The 22,473-nt window shown below is 42.4% G+C and overlaps 1 protein-coding gene across 9 annotated transcripts in view; it reads left to right on the top strand.

Moving 5' to 3' along the window:
* TENM4 (teneurin transmembrane protein 4) overlaps window positions 1–22,473 on the top strand; it is a 788,202-nt gene that overhangs the window by 569,704 nt on the left and 196,025 nt on the right. For 7 of the 9 annotated variants that reach the window (XM_047426737.1, XM_047426736.1, XM_017017525.2 and 4 more), the window contains 3 exons: window positions 8,195–8,365; window positions 15,149–15,363; window positions 17,013–17,223. In XM_047426737.1, the coding sequence (XP_047282693.1) occupies window positions 8,195–8,365; window positions 15,149–15,363; window positions 17,013–17,223 (597 nt within the window). The remainder of the gene's footprint in view (window positions 1–8,194; window positions 8,366–15,148; window positions 15,364–17,012; window positions 17,224–22,473) is intronic. The other 2 variants (XM_047426739.1, XM_047426742.1) reach the window with 1 other exon arrangement.

Here is a 22,473-nt window from a genome sequence, read left to right as displayed (position 1 = left end):
ATGTCAGTAAATACCAAGCTCCATGAGGAGCTCATAAAACACGTCACTTCTTTTAATCTCCACAACTCTCAAAGCTAGGTATTATTATCACCGTCTTATAGATGGGGAAACAGAGGCTCAAAAGAGTAAAGTTGTCATGTAACTGGTCACATCAGAACCAGAGAAGGAACACAGGTCTCTCTGGCTCCAGAGGCTGTGCTCACAGCCACTGCTCTTCACAGCCATTTTCTTGACTTGGGAACCAGCACAATGTGGGAGGTCTGGCAGGGAGAGGTCAGATAACTGGGCTGAGGTGAGTCCAAAGGTTGGTGGGGGGTGGCCAACTCCTAAATTAGTTATATACGGAAGAGGTCTTAGTAGAGCCCACCCGGGGAAAGGTGCCCAGAAAACACAGCTTTCTTATTCTATTACTGCAATAATAGCAGTTTATTCTGTACAAATTAGGTTTCAGTTCCAGTTCCCCTACAACTTGCCTTGTCACCAGTTTTCAGTGCCCTCCAGTTAAGGTGACATTCCTCCTCTGTATTGGTGGTGGGCTCACCTGTTCCCTGCCTCTGTGGCTGACTGCACCTGATCCTCTGGCTCGGGACCAACTCCGCCATGATTTAAAGAAACATTGAGCAGCACCCATGAATCCTTGCTGAAAGGCCTCCTTCCCTATAACTTTGCATGGCACAGAGAAATGATTAACTGTGCCAGAATCCATTCTCCAGAAAACACTTAATTTGGGAGTGAGAGACAGTAGCCCTGATTATTGCAGCCAAGTTTTTCCAGAGACAGGAGGAAAAGCAGTATATTTACTTGATTAAAAATTACCCCCACGTAGTCATCAGTGGGATCCTGACAGGCAGTTTTATAGCAATCATGCTTTTAAAAGATGTTTCATCTATTGGGCAAATATCTCTAGTTCCCATTACCAAAGTCTGTCAGCTAATGGGAGCAGGTGAGGGCCCTCAATTTAAAGAAATTGGCAACTGGCATGGAAGGGAACTAATAGGGAACATATAGAAAGAAGAAAAAGGCAGTATCACAGAGCTGGCTTAAAGTTTTCAGTAGATATAGGAATTAGGGAAATCAGCATAGCAAAATGACAGTGATGATACAACTGCCATTTACTGAGCTCCTGGTATGTACCAGGCATAGTTCTAAGCAAATTACATTATCTCATTCAATCCTTTGAGGTGGATATTATCAGCTTCATTTTACAGGTGAAGAAACTGAGATTCAGACAGGCTAAGTACTTTGCCCAAAGTCACAAAACCAGTAACTCAACAAGCTCTGAGTGCTTTTATAGAAAGACCCAAACACAGACTGACTGTGCCTGTGGCAAGTTGCTTACTGGCATCTACATGGTTTTTGTTTGTGGGGATCAGTTGCTGGTCAGGCAGTCAGGATATGAAAGGATGGGGGCCCATGCTTTGTCCCTGAGAAAAAAGCCTCTTAACAAACTATCTCAAAAGAGCAAATCTAGCTATGCTGTCAGCGAAATCTTTGTCTTAAAATTTTTTTTTAAATTGTAATGTAGTTTTCAGGCATTGTAACTCATCACCAGTGTGATGTGCCAGGAGGGGAACCTGGGCTTTGGAACCATTCAGATCTGTTTTTAGATCGGGGTTCAAATTTGGCCTTAGTACTTCCTATCTGTGTGTCTTTGGGCCAGCTGAGGAGCCTTTCTGAGCCTCCAGTTTCTTCATTTGTCAAACGAGTTTCTCAAGATTCATGTAAAGATTGAGTGAGAGAGCATATGTAATTCCTCATGTCTGGGGTCGGACACAAGGCAAAAGCTCAAAGTCAGGACCCCTCCCCCATGCTGTATCATCTTTCTCTTCTACCTATTGCTTGTGACACTAAGTTGGAGGCTTCCTTTTTAATGCTGATGCACTAAAATGAGTTTGGAAACTAGGAAATAATCGTCTGCTGTAATTCAAATCCTGAGGTCATTTTTATGTATTTCTTTACAAATTGTTTTTCATATGCATACATGGTTTTGCAGAGATGCAGTCAGGAAACACATGCAATTTGGTGCCCTGCCTTTTCTTTTCCTGACATTGTGTTTTAAGCATTTTCCTGCATCGCTGTTTATCTTAGTTATTTTTTGTAATGATTGCCTTATATTCCATCCTGTACCTGTACCATAAGTTAGCTAAGTCGTTCTCCTATTTTTAGACATCGAGTTTGCTTCCAATTTTTTTTCTGTTATCCTGCCGTGTACATCTTGTGTATATAGTTTCTTGGTTTGGAACTTTTAAATGTGGTGGCTTTGTAGCAAAACCAGGAAGATAACCTAGGGAATGAAAGCCTGTCATTTCTGTTATTATTTTATCTTTTTAGTTTTTCACCCCATTAGAGGACCATAAGTCAAAGAACCTCAGTGACTGATTTCATAGAAATAGTCATTTAAAAAAAAAAACTGAGCACTAATATAAAACAGAAAAGTGGGTAGCTGCGTGGTTGGGTTGGTTCCCACTGCCTTTTGAAACCAAAAATGCCACTTGAATCAACAGTTCCTTGTGGTTATAACCGTGTCTAGTCACTCCCTGGAGCTGCTGATGCACAGATGCAAGTGGGTTTGTGCATTCCAGTTTTGGAAGGGAAGTGTGCATCGTGACAGCAGAAACTCACCTGTACTGATATTGGTGACTCCTGCATAATGACTTTGTTAATTGCCTCCTGCTGGCCGGGTGCTGAGGGGAGCCTTCAATGTCTGAACATCTATGGAGCCTTTCTTTAAAATGTCAAGATAGAGCTTGCACTTTCTGAGCCATCTCTCATGTCTCACTGGACAGGAAAAGGCGACGGGGAAAATGTCAGCCCTGGGATGAGATTGACCAGAGCCAAGAGAATCAGAACTTCCCCCACCTTGGCTCTTGGCTTTTAGAAATCATTAACATTTCAGCGTGGGTGATCTTGTGAACCAGCTACCTTTCCACAGCCTTTTTCTGAACTCCTTAGCATCTTTTCACCTTTTCACTGAATTACAAACTAGTCTAACGGGAAAACCAGTATCAAGTTACTTATCTAGGTCACTTTGAGTGTACTTGAGGAAGGTTTTGCACAACAGTTATAAATACACACTGCAGAGTATCATATAGAGAATCCTGTGACGTAACACAGATGATGAGTAGTTACCGTTCATTCTTCAGGGAACATGGAATACAGTGATTATAATTTATATTGTTTCAGTGGCCCAGTCTATCCTTAGCAGGCTGGGGAGAACCGTTTATATTTGTTAGCTTTTTTTTTTTTTTTTAATCTGTGGCTCTGTCTTCCAAATCATTTGGATAACACGCACTCAGCTGCTATACACAGCTTTAAATGAAGATTGCTGTGGGCCAGGGAATATTTATCATCACTATCAGCTCCCCCTCCCTAAATATTTATTTCAAATTTTATTTGCTGCTGGCTTTATCTTCTATTTAAAATAAAATATATAAAAGAAGAAGCTTGGCTTGGGAGCACAGGGTCCTGAGTTTTAAACTTGCCTCAAATTTCTACCAGCTCTGTGGTCTCCAGTAACTTACTTTACTTCTCTGAGTAAATCAGAATATAGCACTATAGCTCTATTTCTATTCTACTTCCATTCTCCAGTAATGTTTTTTCAACCTACTTTTATATAAGTATGAAACTGAATAATATAAATAAAGCACTTGGCATGTAGTGTGCATTCAAATGATACTAATTTTTGTGTTATGATTTTGATTATTACAAAGGATAAAGAAGAGAGGCCACTCGATCATATGTATTTCATGGGCAGACTCTGGCTGAGAATGTGCTGTGTCCTTTGGAAAGAGGAGAGCAGAGCAAACTACTTCTCTCCCTTCCCTCTCCCCCTCTCCCATAACCCAGAACTATAGAATTAACCACCTGCCTAACAATACAGTAAAAGAATGACAGGGTCACTAGCATGACTTATATTTAAAACCTTGGATCACAGATTAAATGTCCCCTTTATTTTGGCTTTAAGATGACTTTGCTGTATTCTCACTCATTTGTGGGAGCTAAAAATTGAAACAATTGAATTCACGGAGATAGAGAGTAGAAGGATGGTTACCAGAGGTTTGGAAGGCTAGTGGGAGGTTTGGAGATAGGTGGCATGGTTAACGGGTACAAAAAAAAAATAGAATAAATAAAGAACTGTGCTATTTGATAGCACAACAGGGTGGACTATAGTCAATAACAATTAAACAATACATTTTAAAATAACTAAAAGTATAATTGGATTGTTTGTAACACAAAAGATAAATGCTGGAGGGAGGGGATGGATACCCCATTTTCCATCACATGAGTATCATGCATTGCAAGCCTGTTATCAAAACATCTCACGTGTCCCATAAGTATATACACCTTCTATGTGCCCACAAAAATTAAAATTTTTTTTAAAAAGATGACATTACTGGTTGAACTTCATGTCTCTGAATCTCTGCTTCATCCTACTCCTTACTTTCCAGGTAGCCATTTCTCAGCCCAACCTTGGTTGGGTGACCCTAGGTTTCCTTCCCTACCCACCAGCTTCTAAAGTTATTTTTGAATGGTTAAATCTCCTGAGAGATTCAGTCTAAGTTGGAGTTGAATACAGAGCTTTGCTTTCCCAGATAGTTTTCAGGAGTGCATCTTCCACAGGCCACGGAGACTATTGGCCAGCCTCACAGCTGTGTTGGCCTCTGTGATTGCCAGGGGGGTACAGTGGAGAGGAAGGGGTGCCAACACCCCTCCCCCCATGTCTCCCCCACCCTCATAACTGTGGACTGTCCTGCCCTCATTAACTTCCCTGGGACCCCAGACCTGTTGATCATTTTCACCTGCAACACTTTTTTCCCTGGCTTATTCCCACCCCTACCCACAACGTATCTTTTTTTTTTTTTTTTTTTAAGCAAGGACTTATTTGCATCTTGTTAAATATAAAAGAAAGCTGTGACAATAAAAATGTTTCTCTTCACAAAGCTGTGAGAGTTCTATTCATTCTGGGATTAGTTAATTCTCATGACCTTTTAACAAGACAGCACTGTTGCACACTTAGATGAGATAATTGATTCTAATGGGGAAAGAAGCATTGCTTACTTAGCTGCATATATCTGATTCGTCTGTAGCTCAAACAATTTCTCCGTTACCTTTGGAGTTGCTAATATATAAAGTAAGAAGGTAAACAGAATTTTGAGCTAATCCAGCCTTGGAAATAGCAGAATATTCACTGCTTCCAGGCAGGTTAACTGTTCAAGTATTATTGTCACCTACATAGGAGGTAGAGGAGAGCAGTGCAAAGCACCTCACCTGGTACCTGGTACCAAAAAAGGTGCTCAATAAATGTCAGTGACTATTGTCATTTCATTATCATCAACAGTACAAATGCAATGAATGGTTATCACGTATAGTTATCACACATGTGTACAGTTTGCAAAGCATTTTACCATGTATTACCTCATTAGGTACAACAATGTTTTGAAGCTTTCTATACTCATTGCTCAGATGAGAAGAATGCAGCTAGGCAGTGGCAGCTGAGATTCAAAACTAGTTTCTTTCCTCTGGTCCCACACACCTTCTCCTGTACCACAGTAACCAAAGAAAAAAGCAAAGTGTCGGATCTCGTTGCTTTCACCCGAGCGTGGCCTCCTGGCTGAAGCAGACTTGTGTGTGTTCCCCATGGCTTGTGTTCAGACTAGAAGTCAAACGGGTATGCTGTGCTCCAGTCTCCTCGGTAGTTTTTTTGTGTGTGTCTTGATGGCAGTCACACAGCCCCTCAAAACCACCATCAGTGACACCTTCATACACTGGGGCCAGGTAACAGAGTTCCCTCTCTAGCTCACAGGATCCTGTGTTACTGCCTAAAAAGAGACTTAAAAGCCTTGGAGGCTGTTTGATGTACAAAAGGGGGATGTCTTTGTAACGCCCACCCTGATAGATACACCAAGCAAGAGGTGCCCTAGCCAAGCAGGCAAGCCTGGGCCTTGATGCCGAGAAGACTGACAGTGCATGTTTTCAGGATTGGAAGAGTTTGGGATTATAGTCTCGTCTCTGCAACCTGTTAGCCATTTAACCTTGCGTGTGTTAATTAGTCTTGTTGTGCCTTAGTTTCTCCATCTGTAAAATGGGGTTATTAATACCTCATAGGATTATTGTGAGAGTTAAAGGAATTATTGCTTGTAATGCTCTCAGCCTAATGCCTGGCATATCATTAAGTACTCAATAAATAATAGTTTTATGGCTATCTTAATTTTAATTAACCTTCTGAGCCTTAATATGCACCTCTGTAAATTCAGTCTGGTGAGATTGCCATGAGGATTAATATATACAAGTTCCCCCACATACTGCCTGTCACACAGTAAATACAATTACTATGGGCCTTCATCTCTCTGAAGATCCTTCCCTGTGTTCTTCTAGCCCCCCTAGCGGGTCAGGCACCCCCTCCTCTAGGCCTTCTGGTCTTGCTGAAGAGACTTTGTTATTTGTCTGTCTTCCCTACTTGGCTGTGAGCTCACTGAAGCAAGGACTCTCTGATTTCATTCTGGCTCTCCAGAATCTGCCATGGAGTGGGCTTTCAGACAGTGTTCACCAAGCAAAGGAGTGAATGTTACATCCAGGGTGTCATGAGGGTCCAGGGACTTGAGCGCTTACTTCCATGTGTGGGGAATTCAGATGGGCATCAGAAGAGGGGAGCCTGAACCACTGACAAGGCCCAAGCCTGGAATCCTAAAATGGGATTTAAGCAGATATTTTGTGCTAGATCACAAACATTATTGGAGATGAACTTCCCAGCCTTCTCAAGCATGTATATCTCAAGGGACAATGTTCATTCTTTTGCGCCTTATGGTCTCTTTCTAGATTGTCGTACAAGACTTTTTAGCAGTTGCTACCTTGGAAAAATATCTTTTTTTTTTTTTTTTTTTTTTTTTTTTTTTGAGACGGAGTCTCGCTCTGTCGCCCAGGCTGGAGTGCAGTGGCGGGATCTCGGCTCACTGCAAGCTCCGCCTCCCAGGTTCACTTCATTCTCCTGCCTCAGCCTCCCAAGTAGCTGGGACTACAGGCGCCCGCCACTACGCCCGGCTAATTTTTTGTATGGAAAAATATCTTTAGAACAGAAATATATGCACATGGCACAAAATGAAAATGTGCAAAAGGTGTACAGTGAAAAGCAAGTTTCCCTCCTATCCCCCGATCCATAGTATCTCTATCCTTCACAGGACACAGCTACTGTTACCAGTCTTTCATATTCTACCAGAAATATTTTATACATTTCCAGGAATTTTTAAACCCAAAGGTAGTATATCAAATACACTTCTGCATGTTATACTTATCTTTCCACAAAAATACATAAAGAACCTCTTTATTCTTGTTAATGGTTGCATCCAATTTTGTTGTGTGGATATTACTTCATTTTCTTGCCCCTTATCAATGGACTGGTTTCTAATATTTTGCTATAACAAATTATACTGAAGTGAATAACCTTGTATGTACATCATTTAGTACATGTATAAGTATATCTGGAGGAGGAATTTCTAGAATTGGAAGCTTTATGTCCCAGGATAAAGGGTATGTGTATTTTAATGTTGCTAGCTTTTATCAAATTGCCCTCCATAGATTTTGTACATTATATTCTCACACCAGTAAAATATGGGAATGCTTGCTTTCCATTCTCTGCCAATATAGTGTATTTTCAACCTTTTTTATCTTTGCCAAACCATATGTGAAAAATAGTATTTCAGAGTCTAACTTACATTTCTTTTGCTATGAATAATGCCAAGAGTCTTTTCATATGATTATGGGCTATTTGTATTTCTTATTCAGTAAACTGTTCATATCCAATGCCTATTTTCCTACTGAGTTGTTGGACTTTGGTTATTATTTGTACAAGTTATTTTTGCGTTAAGGAAATTAACATTGTCATACCAATTGCAGTTTTTCCCCCAGATTGTTATTTATCTTTCGAAGCAAAGACCAAGACCTCCTGAGACTCCCCGATCCTGCCTACTCCCAGTTCCACCAGACTGTGAGCCCCTTGAGGGCAGGGTCTGAACCTTGATCCTCTCTGTCCCCAGTCTCCTTTGCAGGGCTGGCACTACAAGAGCTTCCTTTTGGGGCTACTTGTTGAACTGAACTGAATGCCTGTGTTCCCCCACCCTGCCCACCTTTCCCTTATGGCTTGGGAGTCCCGTTTCTGCCTCCAGCAGAAAAAGATGACTTTTCTCATTGCTCACCACAGCCATGCACCTGTTTGGCCTAAACTGGCACCTGCAGCCGATGGAGGGGCAGATGTATGAGATCACGGAGGACACAGCCAGCAGTTGGCCTGTGCCAACCGACGTCTCCCTATACCCCTCAGGGGGCACTGGCTTAGAGACCCCTGACAGGAAAGGCAAAGGAACCACAGAAGGTAGGGTTGCTGCGTTGTCCGTGTTGTGAGTCCTCTGTGTCTGCCTCTGAGCTGAAGAGCCCTCCATAACGTGCGTGCATCATGTGCCTGGCTCACAGCTCCATGCTCTGGCGCTCCCTCCATCCTTCCACACTCCACGCCAGCTGTCAAGCTGCCAGTCCACCTGTGTCTTCATCGCAGTTCCTTGTCACTGAGAGTTCGTGGGAGGCTCAGGAAGGGCTCATGGTGCTCAGCAGAATCCCATCCCATGCCTTGAGGGAAGCATTAGGGGCTTCACACTGCTGGGGTGGCCATCTTTGTGTGGGGTGAGAGGAGCTCTTCTGGGCAAACCTCATGGGACAGTTGGGCATCTGTGGGAGTGGGGTATGGGGAGGCAGGTAGATGGGGTGTTGTAATGGAAAGATTCTTGGACTCTTGTGGTTTAATAGAAACACCAGTTTAAGTGGTCTGTCATTTACTAAACGTGTGACCTTGAGCAAGTCACTTATTTGCCTGAGCTTCAGTTTCCGCATCCGCAATAATAACAATAATCATTAGTGTTCGTACAGCATGTTTGTTTTAAAACTTTTTGCCAAAAGCATTTCACATTTAATTCCCACAGAGATCCTGTAAGATAATTATTTTATAATTATTCTAGATATAGAAACTAGAATTGGTGCAAAGGATTGCACTAATTAAGTGATTTGGCCAGAGTCACACAGCCAGTAAATGGTAGAGTCTGGGATATGAGCCCAGGTCTGTGACTCCAGGGCTCTCGCTATCTCCATAAGCTTCCCCACCTGACTTACCCCAAGGTTACAAGGCCCTGAAGGAGATGTGGGTGTGAAATTCTATTGTACAATGAGACATGGATATTTCCTATCAATGATGGAAATGGTGGTGGCATTGGGTTTGCTATTCCTGAGTGGGATATCCATAGGCCCATGTTCTCAATGTCTTAGAAATATTTCTAACATGCCATGGACATTGTCAGCCAAGAGTGGCACAGACTCACAAAAATTGGCACCCAGAAAGATGTCTGAGCTAATAACCCAGCCTGGTTGTCATTCTGGGCAGTGTGGCGTTCCCTTCTCCTGCACCTGCTATGGCCTGCTTTCTCTCCCTGTGACCCTTCAGTCAGCACATTGGCAATAGCTGCCTCTAACTTTCACTGCTTACATCTTCTTTTCTCTCAGTTGACTTTTGGGTCATAGCATCTGAGCCTCTCTGCCCTTGCAATAATTTGCCTTCCAGCCACCAGTTTGTTTAACAGGGTGGCATATACTTGGTCAGAGTATCTACTCATGACCTCTGAAATGAGGATCCTGAGGGCCAAAGTCAACTCTTGGCTTCTGGTCATCTTTAAGGGAAGTGGGAACTGAGATCATTTCCACACAGAACCCCTGCCCACTATTTTGAGGGACAAAGCCAGTCCTCTCATTTGCAAAGATTTTAAGTCTTAAAATGCTAAATAGTGCACACTTTCTTTGCCTCTTAATAGGATATGGAGGGAGGAATCATGAATGGGACCTGGGAAGAGCTCTGGGTTAGAAGTCAGAAGCCCTGAGTTCAATTCCAGCTGCAGCCACTGACCTGTGGTATCACCTTAAGCAAATCCCTTGAACACACTTTCTGGGAGTCCTTTTCTCCTCTTCAAAAGGAGAATATTGAGCTAGATTCTCTCTAAGGTGCATTCTGATTTGTAAGTTCTACATATGAAAATAGCAATAGAATCATGTAAGTAACCAGATGGCTCTTCAGAATGTCATGTTGGCCCTGTCCATGGTCCTGCCTTTTGGCTCGTGGTGCCCATGTCAGCTTCTAGCGTCAGATGCCATGGGTTAATACCATAATGTGAAGACTGTCTTTAGATCAGCATGTACAAATGTAGATTTAAAATATGCTTAACCCTCAAGGAACTGGTAAAGGATCTCATTTGGCAAAACGTATTTTCTTCCCTCTATGATCTCTATCAGACGTTCTTTAAACAGGAGTCGGATCTATCTGAAATCTCTCACTCTAATGAAATTAGTCTGTGGGTTGTTTAGGTTTTGTTTTGTTTTTGTAAGGAACAGGAGGTGCAGATAAGAGATAAAATAAAATTGCACCAGATTATTGGTTTATTTTAATTGGAGTATTTTTGCTTAAAGGGATTATCTGTCATTACTGATGCAAATGGAAATCCTGTTTGCAAATGCCTTCAATGCAGCACTGTGCTGCAAAGTGGTCAGCATCAGAAGCAATCACTGTGACAAAAAAAATACGTCAGACTGGAAACCAGAGGACAAAGCTTCCTATAGTTTATGTGAGACCACAATGTTCTTCCTTTATTTTGCCCTGGTCAAACCAATGTCTACTCAGTGTATGTTTTTCATTGTGATGTTAAAAATGCATTCCCCTAGATATATCTCAATGCAGAAAGTCTTTAACTCTGATGTGAGCACATATTTCTCATCCCTTCTGAGGATATTCAAGAAGACAGCTGATTCCAGAATTAAGATTAGAGTCTCTGCTTCACAATGATGGAGAAAGCAATGTGGTGTGATAGAAAGGGGTAAATGGGCCTTGGAGCCAGACAGTATAGGATGTTAATCCTGACCCTGCTTTATATTGGCTCTGTTAACTTATGGCACTTACTGCATCTCCCTTGACCTTCCTCATCTGTAGAACAAGGATAACTATATCTATCCATTCAAAGCCTAATGTTGAAGTGGCACTCAACAAATATTTGTTCTCTTCTTCTTATCCACTCAAATCCCATGCCATTCCATATTAGTTATTAAAATCCCAGAAGTCCAGACTAATTAACATTCTCTCCCTGCCACAGATTCTGCAAAGGTTTGAGGTATTTTTGAATATGTTAAAGAATATATATTTCTTATTTATATGAATTAAATGTATGATAATCCAAGAATTGTAAATGTTCATCATGTCCTTGAGAATAACATGAAACTGCAGTTCATACTATATTTTCCAAATGGCTGTAACCATTCCAGGGTTGTGATGGGACAGAAACCAAATACAGCAGCTTTTCGAACTAAAGCCACAAGAACTTGTGTTACACATTAATGGGGAAGGGAAAAAAACATTGAATAAACAGGCATTTCTGATGGTTGAATTGGTGGGCTTGGGATAGCATTTTCTTCTTTCTGCAGTGAAATAAAAATTGCCCATTAGTTTGAACCATGCAAATTGCTGTGCGCAGGCTCAGCTGGGCTCTCCAAAACAGAACAGCTTATTTTGATAACCAAATAAATTTCAACCAGTTGCTAAGGAAACTAAAGAATTCTTCATGCAAGTTATTGCATTGAAAAGAACCAAAAAGGTGGAGGGAGAGAAAGAACATTAGTTGATTAGGAATTTAGAATCTATATAGGTAGATCTCAGTTCAAGAAAGTAAAGGCTATGATTGAGAAGTGCATGAAATTTCAGTTCTTCCAAATCTTGCTTTTTGACTGAGCTATCCATTTTAGCAATTCATTAAGAAATTTCTTTTATAGACATGATTGCATATTTGCACAGCATTGCTATGGGAAGCCTGAATCTATCTAGCTTTACAAAGCAAAGGACTATTATCAGTAAAATCTGCCTTGTGAGGCCTAATCTTGCTGTAGGGGAGCCCTAATTGTGACCTAAGCTTTTTGCAGTGTTTGTTAAGTCTCTGGGGGCACCCAGTGATTGTAGAGTGTCCTTCTCATGAATGTTTTGAGACCCTGACTGTTGCCCTTTAACTTTTGGACCTGTTTGTAGGTTCCTAATTCATACAAATGATCTTTTTGTACCCTAGGATGCCAGGAAGTTTTTTAATGGGCCTTGGATCTACCTGGTCAAGCTCTGATATTTAGCCTGCTGGGGCTGTGAATCCTATCGGACTCTTGATCTTTAAGAAGGTCAATGCACCCCACCACCACTGAGAATGTCTTTGTAGTGTTTTAATTAATCATTCATCAATTTGATCCCTTCAGAAGCCATATTTTAATAAATAAAGATGGATCCCAAAATGGTTTCTTAAGCTTTCTGAGCCTCCATATACAGATGTTAATTAACTGAACTGATACACAGGAAGGTACCTGCCACTGTGCTTGGAGCTCATCAAGTGGAAGCCAATATGACTAGTAATACTAATACCTCTACCTTTATTGCTATTTCCACCATTAAAATCTATTACTATTTTTATCTTCCAGAGTGTAGGTAGGGATAAGAAGAATTGTATACACAAGACTTTTTGCCTCCAATTGCCTCTAGCCTCTCCTCTCCCTTATGATTCCACCACTGGTGGCTTTTGCTTCATGGTGGAGGATATTTTATATCCTAGTGCTCACAGCTTTGTGCTCAGAATTAAGGACAAAAAGTCTTATAGCATCTAGAAAGTGTAAGGCAATAAGGATTTTTAACAAGCAAGACAGAAGGAAGGCATTTCACTTTCCCAACCCTCAGCCCAGCCCATGTCATGACTCTTTCCCCTCAGGTAAAGGTGATCAGCAGGCTGTTAGCATTTCCCCCTCAACAGCTCCCAGCCTGTCCCTGTGGTGGGATTTGGAGACCACTGGTGACCAGAGGCCCTCAAGGTCCTGATAGAGGATATGCCCCAGAGCAGAGTTCACTTTTTTTTTTCAGCATATACACACTCAAGACAATTTCTCCCTCCCATCCAGCCCATCTAGGTGAAATACTAAAGTGCTAGAAAAGTCCCCTTTTGTCACCTCCTCTGGGGTAAGAGCCAACTTATTTATGCCTGAGGCCTGCAGACCTCTGACTTATAAGGCTGCAAAACCTAGCTGATACAGTCACTGTCTCCTAAAAATACGCTCATTGAGGGAGAAAATGAACTGTGCAGGGTTCTCCAGCAGCATGCTAAAATGGGGGAGCAGTTTTCCAGTATTTATTTTCAGACATGGGAATTATTTGAATTCAGACAATTCTCAAATCCCATCAGCTCAGACTGCCACCTACTCACAAAGGAAACGCATCCTTGGAACTAGCAGTGTTGTGCTTATTTCTTTTCAGTTTCTAGGAGGAAAAAGCTCAGAAGGCATCTGCTTTGTTTCATTCTCCCTCTTAGTTCTGCCTCCCTAGCAAAATTAAAAGCTGATGGCAGACTATTTCCTCCTGGAATATAGAATGGCTGTGGTATTGGGAACCCAAAAATCAGATAAGAAAGAATGTAAATAATTCTCTTCCATCTCAATGCATTGTGAATTTGGGTTCTGTCTTTGAACTTTGTGAATCACAGCGTGGTGGTTTTTGTATCTATATTTGATGTCTGAAGTACATTCCTTCCATAAAGGAATTAAAAAGCAAACTCTTTCCCATGCTAATGACAGAATACTAGTGGTACTTTTATTGATAGTGCACATTTTAACTTTTTTGTTGGCATATTTTTAATTAAAATAACATTTAACAGTTTGAAGCTAAAAACCTGATGTTTCTGCCTAGGAGTTTATAAGGGAGTGATAACATATGGAGAAGTTTAACATTTAAATTGAATTTTATTATTTAAAACAGTAAAATGTTTTATGACTACAACAATGCCCTGCCAGGCTTCATTTCAGCATCAAATGTGCTTTGTAAGGAGTCTTACAAAGCTAGGGGGAAAGAAAGACATTTTAATTTCCTATTCCCCAAATGCTGTTTACAAAAAGTTCCAAAGTGTGTTTTCTTTACAAATGAATTCTTGTTCTCTGAAGTGTCTCTTCGAACATCTCTAACATCACAAAAAAACCGCTTGGAACCAGGATACCCAGGAAGTCCTTCATAACAACAAATAAAATACAGCCTGTTGACTTGATGCTGGTCTTTCAGTGTGCTAAGGGTGGTCTTCCTAACATCCCTAGAGTCTCTCCTGTTCCTTCTCAACTCTTCAGGAGGCTGATGTCTGGCAGGAAGTTAGGGTTTGTATTTTTCACATATGAGTGTGCTTAATTACTAAATAGAAGGAGTTTGATAAGCTGCCTTCCTTGCTTGCATTTGTGGTGCCCCCAGAGAGCTGTCACCCTCCTAATCAGTATAGAAATGGCCGAGAGACTTTACTCATGACACCCTGCATGGATGCTTAGCACAGGGTTGGGAGCCTGGGTGGAATTTCCAGGTATGGCATAGGCTTGGTGTGTGAACTTGGGAAATTCCCTCAGCTTGACCCATTTTAGCACAGATATTATATTTACCCTCATCCAAAGACAAAGGAACATTTTGCAGAAATATTTCCTCTTTTCAGAAGTACCTTTTCCTCATCTTCCCCAGCCCCTAACCCTGCCCTAAGCACAACCCCCCATCCACATATCAGCCTCAGAATTTGGCTTCCAATGTATACACAAATTAGTGAGCTTTTTAAATACCTTACTCCATCAAGTCATGCTTCCCACTGCTGGGGGACTCATTCTGAGTTGGAAAATTAATAACACTTTGTTCCCCCATCCTTTCTATTTTACCGTGAGCCCCTTAACACACCAAATCACAGAGCTATTTTCATGTGACCACAAATGATTATTTTTAGGATCAAAATATATCTTAACAAGCTGTGGAATTATGCAGTAAACAGATGGCCCTTGGGGAGGACCCATACTGCTTTGGAAGAATGCATATTTTTAGCAGAATAATTTGAGCATCGCTGGGGGGAAAAAAAAGTTCTGGACCTTTTTACTCCTCCATGTGGGGAGGGCCAGGGTGGGGAGGAAGCTGACAGCAGAACATTATAGAGAAGGATGTGAGGCTAAGGAGAGTCCCGGGTGTTCAGATGCCCTGGTTTCTCGTTTCCCATGTGGCTAACCGAGATGTCTTTGTCTTCCCTTCCCTCTATCTTGGTAGGAAAGCCCAGTAGTTTCTTTCCAGAGGACAGTTTCATAGATTCTGGAGAAATTGATGTGGGAAGGCGAGCTTCCCAGAAGATTCCTCCTGGCACTTTCTGGAGATCTCAAGTGTTCATAGACCATCCTGTGCATCTGAAATTCAATGTGTCTCTGGGAAAGGCAGCCCTGGTTGGCATTTATGGCAGAAAAGGCCTCCCTCCTTCACATACACAGGTAACCAGAACCCCACATACCCTGTTGATCTGCATGGGCTCCTACCTCAAATCTTAACCCAAAGTTAAGAAGCCCAATCCAGAGCCTTAAGCCTGAAGGGACATTTATATATTTTATAGCCCATTCATTCATGTAGTCCCTCTCAGACCCACCCTTTCAGATGAGTAAGGTTATATCACTGGGGCTTTCTAGGAGGAAAGAATTCTAGGAAATCTCTTAACAGCCTTTCTGCTATTACTCAGTCTCCTAAGTTAAATTATCCAGGAAATGTGATCTAGAGAAAAAAGCATGCAGTTTAGAATCAGACAGATCTGAGTTTGAATCCTCTTGTTATCAGCATTGTAACCTTGGCTCCATCACTTAGCTTCTCAGAGCAAGTTTCCTCATCTATAAGATGCCGGTAACAATACCCACTTGGCAGGGCTGTTGTGAAGAAAGAAGAATAACATTTATAAGGCAGCTAGTGCAGGACCTGGCTCAGAATAAATGATTCTTCCCTAGTCTTTCTTATTCCTTCTCTCCTTCAGGGTTACACATTGACTCAAACACATGCACACCAGAAACACTGAAAAAACCTTGTCCAGGATGACTGACATATTACCAATCATGATTAATGAAGAACAGACACTTGTGCAAGGTCCTGCCAGCCCTGGAATTGGAGTAATGTAAATCATAGGCATTCATCAGGCATTCCTAGGCCAAATGCAGCCTTCCTAGCCCTAGTAGTTATTTAAGATTTTTAGCTAAAAGACAGATATGTTTGCTAAAGAAGGAATCACAGGAGAAGAGCCTTGAGACCCTGTTGACTGCAGACTGGTATGCTAGTCCTGGCCTGCATATCTCCAGACAGTTTTTCATGAAATTGAATAAATATCTTGTTTGGTTTTTAAAGCTAGCTAGCTAGCTAGCTAGATAACTACCCAATTTGCTTGCTAATAGGCCAGTAGGACTTAACCACCTACTTGTTGTTAACACAGTGTAACTGACTTTTCTGGAGTCTCACACAAGCAGTCTCCGATCAATTGGCAATTGTATTTGACACAGCATGTAATTATTGATAGAGTTTTGAGCTAATCCAGTTGAGTTCCCCTAAATTTGCTCCCTGAAACTAGAACATTCAGAAAGAACCATTGACCAAAGGAAAATAGACATAAATCAAATTTTCATTTGCACATGACTGATGTTCCAATCACATCCAATGCTCCAATCCCAGTCCCAGCCACCCGCCTCTGCTCCCCTCCACCACCCCCCAAGATTCTTGTCAGGACTTGCATGAAGTTCAACCAATTGTAAAGTGGCTGTGTTTCTAACCACACACCCGGCATTGCAAAAAAGCATGGTTGTCCTGGTACAGACTCAGCCAGGGGAAGATTCACCACCAGTACAAAAAGAACTAAAACAAAATGAGACTAAAAAATAATCCTCTAATTATGCCTCACTCACAGGAGAACCGGGAGAATATCACCATGAAAAAATGGGTCTGGGGAAGAGTTGAGTTGATTGATCAACCTTCCTGCACCCTTAGCCTCTTTGGGCCCTTTTTGCCTCTATTTGTGTTTCCCAATGTCCTCTCCAGGAGAAGCCCCGGGAAGGACGCTGGTGCGTGGTGGAACAGACCCACTGCTAACTGTGCTTTCTCTGTCTTTCAGTTTGACTTTGTGGAGCTGCTGGATGGCAGGAGGCTCCTAACCCAGGAGGCGCGGAGCCTAGAGGGGACCCCGCGCCAGTCTCGGGGAACTGTGCCCCCCTCCAGCCATGAGACAGGCTTCATCCAGTATTTGGATTCAGGAATCTGGCACTTGGCTTTTTACAATGACGGAAAGGAGTCAGAAGTGGTTTCCTTTCTCACCACTGCCATTGGTAAGGGAGCCACACCCTCTGGGGGCTGTGGGATATTGTCTCTTTTGGTCGGAGGCTGCATGGAGATTCTGGGACTGACACTGACAAGGGGATGTCAGAGCTGTGGATGGCCCTGGAGCTTGGCACGAGACCCTCCTGACTGGGCCTGCTACACAGGGAATCGCCCGCCATTCTGAGCTGGCTTCTGAGCCCAGGGCTGTTGCCCGCTGCTTCTCTCCTGCTGTCTGTGGTTGGTGTGCAGTGCATTTCAAGGTGGGAGTGGAATTGTGAGACAGGAATCCTGGACAAGCCACACAGAGGCAACATCTCTCTTCTTGGCACTTCTCTCCCACGTATTTGTCTTTAGAGTCTCACTTGGTTCACCTCACTGATTTGTGGTTTGGGTTTTGTTTTGGTTTTCATTCTTTTTTGTTTTGGAGCCAACAACCCCTGGCCAATGAGAAAAGAGGATACAGGCTTGAAGAGAGAGTAAGAACAGCAGTGCAAAAGGCTGGATGAACCATGCCATCAGTCAGACTGGGGTTTTGTTGAGAATAGAGATGTCCTAATCTCTGACAAAGAGTGGGCCCTGATGTGCGAAATAAATGAGTGCTTAACACCTTCACTCTCCCTCGCAGTGGAAGAGGGCCTCAGCTCCCAGTTCACCCTGAGCCCCTGGGCCAGCTCAGAAGCCTGTAGGTGTCTGGGAAGCCTGGCACCCTATTTAAAGAGTTTCTCTTCTTTACCAATACATTGCACAGAATGTGTCTGCTTCTTAGACTGCCCTAATGTGCTGCAGGACACAGTGGTCTTGGCAGTTCGGGTCAGAAAACATTTTTTTCTGAGTTTATATTAGAAGCACTATGACATAGTCTGGAGATAAAAATTCCCTACAGGAAAATAAAAGTTATGGAAGAATATAACTCCATTAAACAGAACACCTGGGAATGGGGTTTCTGCTTAATCAACAGTTCTATGTGGTCTGGAGTTCACCTGAAAACTCTGTCTCAGTCGTTGGCTAGGAATCTCTCTGACATGGAAAAATGGAGTTTGATAAAAGTTTCTGAATCCAGGCTAGGTGTGGTGGCTCATACTATAATCTCAGCACTTTGGGAGGCAGACGCAGGAGGATTGCTTGAGACCAGGAGTTCAAGACCTGCCTGGGCAACATAGCAAGATCCTCCTTTCTACAAAAAAAAATATTAAAAGTATCCAGGTGCGATGGTGCATGCCTGCGGTCCCAGCTGCTCAGGAGGCTGAGGTGGGAGGATCCCTTGAGCCCAGGAGATTGAGGTTGCAGTGGGCTATGATCATACTACTGCACTCCAGCCTGGGTGACAGACTGAGACACTGTCTCAAACAAACAAACCCCAAAAAATCTCTGAATCTGGTACTAGGTTTCCAAAACTCTTACAAGACCCTGGTTCTTACTTTTTGTTTTTTAGACCAGGTCTCACTCTGTTGCCTGGGCCGGAGTGCAGTGACTCAATCACGGCTCACTGCAACCTTGAACTCCTGGGCTCGGGTGATCCTCCTGCCTTGGCCTCCCGAATAGCTGGGACCACAGGCACACACCACCATGCCCAGCTAATTTTTGTATGTTTTGTAGAGATGAGGTTTCACCACATTGCCTAGGCTGGTCAAACTCTTGGGCTCAAGTGAGCCGCCCACTTTGACTTCCCCAAATGCTGAGGTTACAGGCATGAGCCACCATGCCCAGCCCCTGGTTCTTACTTCTAAACAACAGGAGTCATTTTCAGTCCATTTCCTGCTTACTTGAAATTTGCCCTTTGTGTTGAGACAGAAAGTATCTTCCCATTAAATACAGGGTGTGGCTGAAAAGCTTCTGCTCTAAATACAGGCTCAATATTTCACCTCTTGGCAAAATGAAGGAGGTGGAGGCTTTCAGGCAACTAGCTCTGATGTAGAAATTATCACTTTGTACAGTCCTTGTTTTAGAGATGTCTGTCTGAGCCGCTGGACTCCGAATGCCTAGAGGGCAGGGGCTTTGACAGGATCTTGTCTGCCTCCTGGCACCCAGCCCAGTGGGGTGCAGTGTCGTGCAGTGAATGAGGGAACGAACTCCCCTGGCAGGATTGGCGGCAGCAACTGCCAGGCAGTTGTGGTGCTGTTGGTTTCCTCCCTGGATACCTTCTTGTGAACTGTGGCAGGGATTGTGCTCCATTTTCAGTCTCCAGCACAAACTTGGGTTTTGACCTTGCACAAATCACTTGGGGTTCCCAGCTCTTAGTTTTTCAGGATTCTGGTATTTGAGGCTGCAGCTCAGAGTCACTGGTGACATTAAGGCTAACAGTATAGCCTGTTCCCTGTCATCAGAGGCCCCAGTCTGGCCGTCATCTTGTTAGGCTGTCACTTGGCAGGGTTTGGGAGGCTACAGGCCCTGATTCTTTTTTCTCTCCGGATAGGATGACGACAGTTTAGGGACATGATCATCAAGTCGTGGTGGTGCTTGAGTTACAGCTTCATGGTCTCGTGGCCTGATTTCCCTTAAGCGTGGTTTACAGAGAAGCATAGAGTAGTGCTTGTTCAAAACTAAGTGCTTTTACAATCAGAATTCCTTATTTTTAATAACTTAGCATAAATATGAAAGGATATTAATCAAACCCCAGAAGAAAGCCACTTTTAATTAGGATACACATCTTAGAGGAATAAACCATAGGCACAGTGAGGCATCTTTGCCAACCCTTGGCTTGTCAGAGCTTGCTAACCTGTCTTCTCATAATTAGGGAGACGGTCTTCTTTTCCCTTTGGTTCTGCCATTCTCACCTAAATGTGGACACCTGTCTTCACTTCCTCTTAACCCTGTATTTTAGGGCCAATAGGTCATACCGTGCTTCTCAGACTTGAGTGAACCACCTGAGGATCTTGATAAAATGCAGATTCTGCTTCAGCAGGTCTGGGTGGACCTTAGATTCAGCATTTCCAACCATCACCCAGTGATACTGAAGCTGCTGTGGACCACATTTTAAGTGGCAAGGGGTTAGACATAGTACTTTACAGATGGTTCTCAAATACTGTTGAATAAAAGAATCACCTGGGAAGCCAGGGGAACATTCATATTCCTGGGCCTTTTCTCCAGAAAATATGACTCAGTAGGCCTGCGGTGAAGCCCAGGGGATCCTGATTCTGGTGTTCTGTCAAGGAAGCTTTGAAGACAGACGCCTTATGAGAACTACTTTCCATTCCTTCCTTCCCCACTGTCACATGTTAGCTCTGTGATCAGAGACAGTCATGCCACCTCTCTGAGCCTCATTCTTCTTGTTTGGAAAATGGAACAATAGTACTTTGCAATCCCCATCGTGAAAATTAAACAGAGAAATAGAAAGTGCTTAGCACAGGCTCTGGGCTACCACAAGCACTCAATAAATGGAAGCTGTTTTAATATTCTCTCCCATCCTCTTTCTCCTTCCACCTTTCTCTTGCTGCCTTTCTGACCTGTCTGTGTCCCTTCAAGCTACAGTGATGGTTTAATGAATACTGTTTTTTTCTCTAATACAAAAACAGACTGATTCTGATGTTGCTATTAATCCCGCTTTCCCCAAGAGTCCCTGGCATTGAGTCTCAGCTGTCTGTGATCATTACTTGTGAGCTATGAGTAGTAATTTGTCTTGGCAGGTTAATTAAAAGTTTAGGTCTTGTTTTAGTGAAGTCATTATGGCCCCAATATATAATTGTAACTCTCGGGTTTGCTTAACACACAAATTGGAATCTGACCCTTCCTTCATTATATGTCAAAATGCAGATCTAGAATTTAAGAAGATCTGAGATGTCAGAATCCAGAGTATTTATGTCTGTTTGTAATTAAGTAACAGGAGAAATAATTGTGTTTCACAAATGGCTATATTGTGTATGTTTTTGCTTTCTCCTCCATTTAATGCAATCCAGCTGATGATTTTAAATGAAATGAGTTTAACTTTTGCCTTTAAAAAATCTAAAAGCACTTTACAAACCGTACACACAAATATATACGCACAGAGACCTGATGTTGACAGAGCTCCCAGTGAACTAGATGCATTTACACACACACACACACACACACACAGAGCACTGAAACCAAGCAAGTTTTAGAATAAAACATGGAAGCTTTTTTCAGAAACAACAGGCTTTCCCTGCAGGTGGAGATCCAGAATCTGAGGGTACTGACCCTGGTCCTGGCTGGGCCGAGGTGGGCTGCCTAGCTGACCCCAGAATGTTGAATAAAGGAGGAGAATGTATATCACTAGCTGAACTATAATTCACTCATTGCAGTTTGCAAAGGGTTTTCACATACATTCTTTAAGACTTGCAGTAATTCCATGAGATGATTATTCTTATTTTTATTATCACCTCCCTATTGCAGATGAGTAAATTAAGGTTCAGGGTTGTTAAAAGAAAAGTTAGGACATGAATTTGCGTCTGTCTGACTCCAAAGCTTATGATCCTCCTCCTTTAGCAATTTGCCTTCTTCCCAGCATCAAACCCCCGTTTTTGGTATCACTTACTTCTCTTTTCCATCTATTCATTCATTCATTCATTCAGCAAATATTTACAGAACACCTATTGTGTGTTGAGGACCATGCTTAGCTCTCTTTTTTATGTTATTTAATCCTCACAAGAAGTTTAGACAATAGATATGTTGACCTCAACTTTACAGATGAAGAAATCAAGGCTCAGAAAGCTTGGTTGACTAGCCCAAAGTTAAGGTCCCCACAATACCACAGTCTCTCACTATTTGTCACGGTTACTATTAAATATTTTTTCCATTTGTATTATATGGAATGTAATTTCCCCCTTGCCTTCCATTATTAATAACCATATTACATCAACCCAAGAAGTTTTCTTGAGAAGTCATTAAGAAGACCATGAGGAAAGTCTCACATCTAAAACTTTAAAAGTAAAAATACCTTTGTATGCATTGCTTGCAACTCAAGACCTAACAAGTTCGTTTTCATTCTTCAGGTAGCATCTTATCTTTTCATTTTGGCTGATGCTGAAGCATAGAGGACAGATCAGCCTGACATTGTGGCAATGTGAGCCAGGCTGGAGCATAACAGAGGTGCCCTGCAGTGGATTTAGAAACCTAGAGAAAAGAAATGAGAATTGCTGTTAGAAAATGTAGGGACTGGGAATTTTTACGAGAAACTTGCTCTGGCCTCTCTGGTGCTCATTGAAGAGAAGAGTCATTTTGTTCGTATCCAGGTGGTTGCTGTAAATCAGTCTGTTCTTTATGTCCAGGGATTAGAAACAGATTTAGTTTCTTTCTTCCTTCTA

This window comes from Homo sapiens, chromosome 11 (assembly GCF_000001405.40).
Source record: "Homo sapiens chromosome 11, GRCh38.p14 Primary Assembly".
In the NCBI taxonomy this organism is placed as follows: domain Eukaryota; kingdom Metazoa; phylum Chordata; class Mammalia; order Primates; family Hominidae; genus Homo; species Homo sapiens.
The sequence above is the reverse complement of the archived record's forward strand: the minus strand, read 5'-3'. Positions and strand labels throughout refer to the sequence as shown.